Genomic DNA, 10,782 nt, shown 5'->3' on the forward strand with positions numbered 1-10,782 from the left:
GTACATTTTACCAAACATTTAATGAAAATAGAATGGCAATCTGTTAAAAACGATGTGACACATGAAGAAAAGGAGAACATTCCCCAACTCATTTTGTAGGCCAGCATAATCAGGGATACTAAAAATCTAAGTAGGATATAACAAGAGACATTTCAGGTCAATATTACTCAAGAACATGCATGAAAAATCCCAAATAATATAATAGCTATTCAAAACTAGCAATATGTTAAAAATATGATAGATCTGAACCAAGTTGAGTTTACTCCAGAAAGGCAAGGTTGGTTTAACAATACAAAGTTGAGCAATGTAATTCATCACAACATAATTAAGGGCAAAAATGATGTGTTCATCTCTATAGATGCTGAAAAAATTGATAAAATTCCATATCCATTTATAGGGGTAAAAAGCTCCTCTAAACAAACTAGTAATAAAAGAACTTTCTTAAACTGATAAAATTATCCACAGAAAAAAAGCTACAACAAAAATCATACTAAATTATGAATTGCTAGAAGCTTTTCCTTTATGACTGAGAACAAGACAAGTTTGCCTGTTATCACCTCTTCTATTCATTGTTGTACTGGAGGACCTTAACAGAGAAATAAGGTAAGATAGAAACTTGGAACGGATATGGAGGAGAATGAAAATAACTGAACTCTACAAATTTGCTTGGCCCTGCTTTATTTTGGGAAGGGTGTGGCTAGGACTATTTTGTTCTAAGTTTTGTATATCTTTTTTTTTTTTTAAACATTTCTTATATTTGGTTCTATGCAAGTGAAATGGCATATTGGGGAAAAAATATAAAACGATGGTTACTGGCCATTTGAATTGACTTCTGAAGGAAGGAGACATTTTGAATCAGCCTTGCTCTAGTCAATGGGGCTTTCTGAGGCTTAGTGAAAATTTGTACTTGTGCCCTATTCAGGCCAAGGTTGCTGGAATATCTTATTTTGATTTTACTATGGCTGACAAAAGGCAGAGTACAGAAAGAGTATTACTTTGGAAGATATTTTATCTGGGGCTATTTTTTTAGAACAAAATCAACGGGGTGCTGATATGTGTTTGGATACTGGAGCACTGACTGATCAGTATTGTGATTCACCTACTCTTAAAGAAAATGACATACATCTAGCTATTGCACATGCAGAAAAATGTCTAAGCCTGATGCTAATGGATGAGTAAGCTTAGCTTCAACAATTGGAATGAAAATAAAACAATTTATTTTAAGACTTGCTATTACTAGACAAGTTCAAACAACAAGGATGATCATAATAGAATTAATAAAGATCTTTGCATGGTAGACTGACAGGCCATGCAGATATGAAGGAAGCAATAGATGTAACCTACATAGACATCAATGGAGCTTTGATTATATTAAAATGATATTCTCCTCCAAAAGAGATGAAGATTTCTCTGCTATTCTTAGATATCTATTGGGAGGGTGATAGGAAGGAAAAGGTAATTGAGGGAGTCACTGGGTAGGTGAAAAGTATACTCGGCATGAATATACTTGGGAGTGGGGTCATAGGTTCTTAAGTGAATTTAGGATGTTTCCATAGATGGCGTTAGCCTTGTTTGCTTTTTAGTCTGACTCAAGTGGTTACAATTAAACACGGTGAGTGTTTTCCACTGATTTGGCTGCTATTGGGCTGCATATATGCAATGTCAAAACAACAGAATACTTTGGAAACTTTGCCAACGTGGGTGATTGACTCACACAAGCAGTTACAAAGAAATGTTTAAGGGTCTTCCATATACTGAAGAGCTGATGTTTAAATTCATCTTACTTCTCACAAACACATAAAGTGTGATAAAGCTTGTTGCTCCTGGGTAGGCAATGAAAGATCAGCAGCACACCACTGAAAAGATGTGAGTGTAGCCATATGTTGAGCATCCCTAGCAATTATGGAATGCTTTAAAATGGATAGGTATTCACATTTTGAAGCTATAAGTTTCAGATATTTATCTTCTTTGATGCAGCCGTCTGAACCAAATCTTGAGATTTGGTTTTTCCTTTTTCTTTCTTTTTGAGACAGGGTTTTGCTCTGTCACCAGGCTGGAGTGCAGTGGCACAATCTCAGCTCACTACAGCCTTGATCTGCCAGGCTCAAGCAATCCTCGCACATTAGCCTCCTGAGTAGCTGGGACCACAGGCAAGTGCCACTACACCTGGCTATTTTTTTTTTTTTTTTTTTTTTTGGTAGAGACGGGGTTTCGCCCTGTTGCTCAGGCTGATCTTGAACTCTGGTCTCAAACTCTGGTCTCAAGCAATCCTCCCACCTCAGCCTCCCAAAGTGCTGGGATTGCAGGTGTAAGGCACCATACCCAGCCAAAATTTGGTTTTCCGATGTGATTTCAGGATTCTAGATTGGGTGCTGTTTCTCCTACACTTTCCTTCCCTCAATCTCCATGTTAGGTTGTTCAGAGTATGCACTGTACAGGGTCAACACATCTGAGGAGGCACCATTCACATTGGGGACACATACAGAACTAACTTACCTGGGAGCGCTGCAGGTGAGTGTAGACATTCCAGGCCTCTTGGCTGAGTCCTGAAGCAGCAAGAGAGCGCCCTCTACTCCATAAACTTTCACTCTCTCAACTGGTCATGCACACCTCAGCAGGGCCTGCACTATCACATTTACTTGGAGATGAACATGTGCACATGGCTACGCTTTCTTCTGGCTGTACTCTGAGTATCTGGATTCCAACATTTCCTCTTACACTGAACTTCTCATGGTCACCTCATCTGGGGTTGGAGTATGTGCGCTCCTTACGTTTTATGTGCTGGGCAGGAGGTAAGTTCACAGGAATGTATGGTTTTGTGTGTGTGTGTGTGTGTGTGTGTGTGTGTGTGTGTGTGTGTGTGTGTACACAAGCAGCTGCCACCCTCAGGCCCTGGGACGATCTTCGTACTCAAGTGGAGTACATTCAAATAGGCTTTATCCAATCCCTAAAGGTAGTGTTCCCCTGATTCCTTTTCTCTCTCTCCTGCCCTTCTCTATTTTTTTACACACTGGCTACCTCTATGGTCACTGTGCTAGGCTGAAAAAAATGACATCTCTTCCGAGATATAGCCACTTCCTAAGCCCCAGAACCTGTAAATATTTTCTTACATAGTAAAAAGTGAATATTACCTTATATGGCAAAGTATGTGATTAAGTTAAAGATATTGACACGCAGTGCTTTTCTTGAATTTTCTCGGTGGGGCCTAAATGCAATCACATGTGTAAGAGAGAGGCAGAGGGAGTTTAGAGACAAATACAGTCACCTAATCTGGCCAGAGGGGTCAACAGCTGGTTGCTGTGTATGATTGTTGGGATTACACATGAATATATATATTAGCTTTCTATTGCTGCATAACAAATTGCCACAAACTTAGTAACTTACAACAACAAATATTTATTGTCTCACGGTTTCTGTGTGTCAGGACTCTGGCCGTGGCTTAGTTAGGTCCTCTGCCAGGCTGCAATCCAGGTGTCAGCCAGAGCTGAGTTCTCATCTAGAGGCTCAACTGGCAATGGATCTGCTACCAAGCTCTTGTGGTCGTTGGCAGAATTCATTTCCTTGTGTTTGTAAGACTGAGGACTCTGGCTTCTTCCTGGTTATTGGCTGGAGGCCGCCCTCAGCTCCTAGAGGCTTCCATAGCTCCTTGCCACATAGCCCTTTCCATAGGTCCACTCAACATGGCGGCTTACCTCTCCAAAGCCAGCAAGGAAGAAAGATAGCAAGTTAGCTAGTAAGATGGAGTTATATAATGTAATGTGATTATAGGAGTGACATCCCATCGCCTTTGCCATATTCTGTTGGTTACAAGGAAGTCACAGGCCCCACCACACTCAAAGAGAGGGAACCATACAAAGGTATGAACTCCAGGGGTTGGGGATCATAAGGCCACCTTAAAGCCTGTCTACTACAATACATTCATTTAAGAAATTATATGGAAAGATGTTGGTCAAAGGGTACAAAGTTTTTGCAGGATAAATAAGTTCTGGAGAGCTAATATACAGTCTGGTGACTTAAATTAACAATACTGTATTGTATACGTAGAAGTTGCTAAGAGGGTAGATCTTGAGTGTTCTCACCACACACACACACACACACACACACACACACACACACAAAAGAAAGAAAACGGTAACTATGTAAGATGATGAACATGTTAATTAGCTTGATTGTGATTATTTCACAATGTGTATGTATATCAAAACATCAAATTGTACACCTCAAATATATACAATTTTTATTTGTCAATTATACCTCAATAAAGCTGAAAATAAATTATTAAAGAATGAGAACCTTTTCCTAATTCACACGAAAGTATCACATTGGTTAGTAGCAGCTTTTTGTCCACCCCAGCACTCTTTATTTTTTTCTGACAAAAGTAGTGCTAAAATGATAAATCAAGGGACAGACATGTAGTTATTAGCTGATGGAAAGTGATAAAATTGGAGAGGATGTAATCATGGTGTAGTTTTACAAGCGTTCTTTCCATTTTGATAACTTTTATTAGAATGTGCCTGGTTTTGGAAAACAGAAATCTTAATAAATAAACCACCACAACTTAAAATATCTCCTATTGGCTCAAATTCTTCTTTTTTATCAGACAAATTATCTCCCAAACAGGTCCTATAAATATGCATTTATTACAAAGTTGTGTGTTCGTCTTAGTGAATTTAGAAAGTAGGGGTTGCTCGTTAGTGTTGATCTAGTTTCTCTGGGTTCCTGTAACTAGAAGGTATGATGAGCTATAGTGTGTTGAGTGAAAAATATTTGAAAATATTTTCTTCTTCTTTGAAATCTTGTCCATTCTCATTGGCCCAAGCAGGTTTTAGGCCTGAGTCACCACTTACCTGGACTGTTGCCAAAGACTCCAGACTTCTCTTATTCTAGTCTATGCCTCTCTGATTTGTGTTTCTCCTCAGCTTACATACTTTGTATAGTGCTTCATTCCCCTCACCTTAAATTCTGAGTCCTTTTGACTGTTCTCAAAGGCCCCACATGGTCCCCCTACAGGCCAGTTCCTTCAGGCTCTTCCTATCAGAGTGAAGGAAAAAAACATGCTCTTATATGCCATAGGTCTTTGCACATTGTTTCTTCTACCTGAAATACCTTCTTCCCTTTCTTCAACTTGTAAACTCCAACTCATTTCTTTAGTGCTTTGTTTTATGTAATTATTAACTTACATTATGAAACCTTTCAAACATAAACAAAATAGAATAACATAATAAACAAACATATCCCTACCATCTGTTTTAAAAATATTGGTATCTTGCCATATTTACCTCAGATGTATATTTCTCCAACTTCTATAGTAAACATTTTCTAACATACAGAAAGTTGAAAGAATGGTACTATAAACACTCATATACCTGGCACTGAGTTTTGACAATTGCTAATATTTTGCTTATTCATTCTCCTTCTCTCATTTCATTTATTTTATTTATTACTACCTCCTCCAACACCACATACACGTGGAACATTTAAAACTAAGTTAGGTCATTGCAGGCATCATCACTTCACCCCAAAATATTTCCACATACCTCTCCTAAGAGTAAGGTGTTCTCCTACGTAATGTTCACATCATTGCTGCACCTACAAAAATTAACAAGCATTCCCTTACTTCATGTAATACTCTGTCAATATAAATTTTTCCCCAAAGTATCTTTTTATAACTATTTTTTCTATGCAACATCCATTCAAATTTCACTCATTATGTTTGGTTTTGTTTCTTTAAACTATTTCATTCTAGAACGGTCATACCTACAATTTTTTCTTATGATACTGACTTTTTGAAGTCATCAGGACAATTGACTAAGTGGCATAATGCATAATCTGGACTTCTCAGAATCTTTCCCCATGTTTTCATTTAACATTTACTTTAGAACATATGTCTCCTGATAACTGAACATTTTCCTCTTTCCCATGACTCTTTTACCTAATGGTTTTAGCATACCTTGACGCCTGAATCAATGATATAATTAGTGATTCTAAGATGATGGTAATTTTCTAATTCTTTCAATTATTCTACATTTATTAGTTGCCATTCAGCTAAAAAGAAGAGCATTTATCACTGATCAACTGGGAGTGAACTCCAGTTTTTCCTCTAGGGTGATTACTTCATTCTTTTCCTTTAATTAGCAATTTTTAAAGTAAGTCATCTCAATTGATGGCAGATGAGTGGGGTTTTCCTTCTTTTCTTTCTTTTGAGGATTATTGTGGGCTATCTTAGTGTGGGTTTCCCCAGAAACAGACCCAGAGACAGAACTCAAGCGAAGGTAGTTATTTAGAAAGTGATTCCAAAGACACTGGTAGAGGAGTAGGGAAATGAGACAGGGAAGAGATGGAAGATAATCAGGGAGTGTTACTTAGTGGCTCACCACTGCAATTAACTAGAGCTTAATCCTGATGCAGAAAAGAGCCACGTAACACATGTGCCACAGAGCTGTCTCATTTGAGAGGTATTTATTCACCAATTTCTGTCAGTCATTCTTTGAAGACTGCTCCTAGGAGCATTAATTAGTTGGTATTATCAACTGGCCATGTGGGCAGGCAAAAGGGCTCCAATATCCAGAGAAAGCCCTCCAGCAAAGAAACACAAGTGCTGGCAGGTACTGGCACTCAGAAGTCTACTGATTAAGGGGTATGAGCAAGGCACCAACAGTTAAGGTCAGCTACACTGATTCATGAGTTTTTATTTATTAAGGGTGTTACCATCACTTATTAAAATCTCCCAAATTTGGCCAGTGGGAACCTTTTCAAGCCTACTGGCCTTGGATTCTTTTGGTACACTTTGATTAGCTTTGGGCACTTTCTAACTTTCTGACACATGATGAACCAGACTCACTTCATACTTCCTCTGTCCCAGACCTGGAATTAACCATTTCTCCAAGAAATTCTGATTCATATTATGAAGGAAACTAGGATCTGAGAGCTAAAAATACTCACTGTTACTGAGTGTGGGATTGCTTCTTGGCCCTTTGTGTGACCTAGTTTCACAAGTTCACATTGACATTCTCAATTCAAATTTATACAGAATTCTTTATTTTTAACTTTTCTTTTCTCTTACACTGAATATACTGTTTCTAGTAACACTATTATTTAAAAATTAGTATACCAATATTACTACTGAGTAAATATTATTATAATTTCTTTGCAATTCTTTTTGTTCTTACCATATCCTAATAAGTATATACAGAGTACTGTGCTCTACAATTACCTGAAATAATTTTCTCTGTCTTTCTTTTGTGCTTTCTTTTTAAACATTTTGATACAGTTATGATGATTTCTTGTCATTTTAGAGGTTTCTTTTATTTTTGAATATAGTAAAACATTTACACAGTGCATATATCAAAACACATATAAGAAAATACTCAGAAAAATCTGCCTTTTTAGTTTCCTGGTCTGCCTTTCCTGTGCTTGTTTTTGCATATGTATTTATATTTCCCGTACTTTCTTACCAAGATGGTAGACTAGTGTATATACTGTTATGTACTTTGCCTTTTCCTTTTAACAGTATATCCTGGAATTGAGTTTACTTCAATTCATAGAGATCTTCCTCATCACCTTTTAAAGTTGCATAGCACTCCATTTTGTGGCAGTAACACAGCTCATACCACTGCTGTTGAATGACATTTGGGTTGCTTCCAAATCTTTGCTTTCTCAAATAAAGTTGTAATGGATAATATTGTGTGTGTGTGTGTGTGTGTGTGTGTGTGTGTGTATGCATTTATAAATGTGCAACTTTAGAGTAGATTCTCTGACATTCATAGCCTCATCAGTAGTTTGTTGTTATTAATGCACTTGTTTATTCCCATTGTACTCATATTATTTACACTGTTGCACTTTTCCTTCTAAAGCCATTTGCCTCCAAGTTTCCTTTTGTCTAATTGCTTTGGCTAATACCTCCAATACAATATTAAGAGTAGGGGACATAGTGAGATCCTTGCACTGTTTCTAACTATAATGTGAGTGGCCTGCACTGATTCCCTATTAAGTAAGATGCTGGCTTTATTCAATCTTATTTTATCACGACAAAGGACCAATGCCTATTTTATTAAGTGTTTTAAAAGAATGGACTTCGACTATTACCAGATGCCTTATTTTTAACATGTATGGATATGTAATTTTAAAGATATATTAATATAAAGCATTACATTAATAGATTTTTTAAAATATTGCAACTTTCTTACATTCTTGGAATAAACCCTTTTTGTTCATGATATGTGAGGAGTTCTGTGGACCCGCTCCCCAGTTAAACTGCTATAAATTATAAAAAACAAACAAGCGTTTAAAGTCTCTGGGAACAGCCCTAAGGGCAAAATGAAAATGAAGAAACATTTATTCAAGATGATTTAGTAAATCAGTTACTAAAACTCAAGAAGAACTCTAAGAGTCTGTAGTATTTGTACCCTCCCTCCCTTCTCTCCGTTCGGTAACTCAGAAACTCCACTCAATACTGGTATAGCCAAGAATACAGGGCTCCTTTTTCTCCCAGCTCCCAATTGAGGGCTTACTTACTGGAAGAGGCACAAAATCACCATTTCTCATCCTGCCCTCAGCTGTCTGTTTCTGAATCTAAGCTCTGGGCAAGTACAGGTGAGAGGGAGGGGCTCCCTTCTTCTGCCCAGCCCTCACGTATGGAATGGAGTCTCTCTACCTTGGGTGTGTTGCCACTGAGAATACTAGGGCCCCATTCATCTTTAACCCAGCTCAAGGCACATGAGTTCCATGCTGCAACAGGCAAGCAGAGAAGACCTGGTTTCATCTAGGTTTCTGAACATAATTATAACGACTACTTGTAGTCTTTAATCTGTCAAATCTGACATTTGGTCACTCACAATTTCTGCTGCTTGATGTTTGTTTGTTTGGTCAGTTGGTTGGTTTGCAGTATACGGGTTTTACCTTCTTGTCTTTTTGCATGTCTTGTAATTTTTTTGTTGAAATCAAAAAATTTAGATAATATATTGTAGCAACTCTGGGAAGTAGTTACTCCTTTTCAGGGCTCATTATTTGCTTGTTTACTTGTTTAATTACCAGCAAAATTATTTCAGTGAAATCTATTTACCTCTGCAGTGTGAATCCCCTGATGCTGCTTTTCATGGAGTGCAGACTTAGATGTACCCACAGTCATGCTGGGATGACAATGGTTTTGGCAGGGCTCTCTTACTGTCTCTTTCCCTGACCCCATCCAGCAGTTGAGCTTCACTAATTGCTGCCTGATTGCTGTATATTTCAAACAATGACTTAGGATAGAAATTGCTTCCCCATAAATCCAGTGAAATCTGGGCTCCTTTGAAAGGATAGTTCCCAAAGATACTATTTGAAATTAGTTATTACTTCAGAAGGGCTCTTCAACTTTGTCTTTCCCTATTTCTCTCTGGAAAACTAGCCAGCCTACAATTTAGCTTGTTGTTCCACCTATCAGACTCCTCTTGAGTCTGGGTTGCCTCTGTGACTTTCTTTGATCAACAGGATGCCATGGAAGTGATATAAGAAATATGAGATCACCGTACTGTGAGCAAGCCCAGGTTATCCATGTGGAGATAGAGAGTTCACATAAAGGAGCATCAAGGCACCACATAATTGAGTTAATATTTCTTGGACATTCCAGCCAGCTCAGTCACCAATTAAATGCAGCTGAGTGTATTATCCTAGCCACCACATAAAACAGAAAACATTCCAGCTGATCCCTGCCTGAATTCTTGACCCACAGAATCATGAGAAATAACAAATTGTTGTTTTCAGACTCAGTGTACCTTGTCAGAAATGGAAAACTGAAATGCCCATACTGTTATAAAGAAAATCCTTGTAACTTTTTCTAAAAGTTCTAAAGTTTTACATTTTGCATTGAAGTCATTATTCAGGTGTATGGAGTCACCTGGAGCTTAATGAGCTGCATCCAGGTATCACAGACAATGGCCAAGAACAAATCAAGAGAACAGGGCTGGCTGAGTGCAGTGGCTCACACCTGTAATCCCAGCACTTTGGGAGGCCAAGGCAGGAGGATCACTTGAGCCCAGGAGTTTGAGACCAGCCATCTCTGCAAAAAAGTGAGACCCCCTGTCTCTGCAAAAAAAAAAAAAAATTAATTTTTAAATTAGCCAAGTGTGGTGGCATGGGCCTGTGGTTCCAGCTACTTGAGAGGCTGAGGTGGCAGGATCACTTGAGCCAGGAGGTGGGAGGTTGAGGCTGCAATGAGCCTTGATGTTGCCACTGCACTCCAGCCTTTGTGACAGAAGGAGGATTTGTCTCAGGAAAAAAAAAAAAAAAGAGGGCGGAAGTCCAGAAATGTATTTTACATAGCCAGCCAAGGGAAAAAAAAAAAAAAAAACCTTTAAGGCTAAAAACAAAGCAAAACCAGTTACTACTAATATTAAGAGGATAAATATTATGAATGATGAAAAAGTTAACAAAGTGAATAAAGCTTTTGTAAGTATACAAAAGGAGCTTGCATGCTTCTCAAAGGGCCTTTCTTTTGAATCTCTGCAGAATGAACTGATTCCTCAGCAGGTCATGAAAGAAAACCAGCTAATATTGATGAAGCTACAGAATTAATGGCTCACTTGTAATACAGTAGTGATGCATCTAATTCCCCCAAAAGACCAATAAATAAATGTTTTATACAACAAAAGTCTTTCTTCAACCTAGAATGCATTCACATATTATGAGGGTTAGAAATCTGAGGTTGTTTTATTATACCATTTGTTGTATAATCCACATTTTCCCCCACTGATTTGTAAGATCACATCTGTCATAAGCAAGTGGAGCAAATTGTCCAGAAATAAA

At 37.9% G+C, this 10,782-nt stretch overlaps 1 pseudogene; it reads left to right on the forward strand.

The window, feature by feature from the left end:
* The first annotated feature begins 1,053 nt into the window (after positions 1 to 1,053).
* LOC112268309 (ribosomal biogenesis factor-like) lies at positions 1,054 to 10,565 on the forward strand (annotated as a pseudogene).
* Positions 10,566 to 10,782: the final 217 nt, after the last annotated feature.

Source organism: Homo sapiens, chromosome X (genome assembly GCF_000001405.40).
Source record: "Homo sapiens chromosome X, GRCh38.p14 Primary Assembly".
NCBI classification, from domain to species: Eukaryota; Metazoa; Chordata; class Mammalia; order Primates; family Hominidae; genus Homo; species Homo sapiens.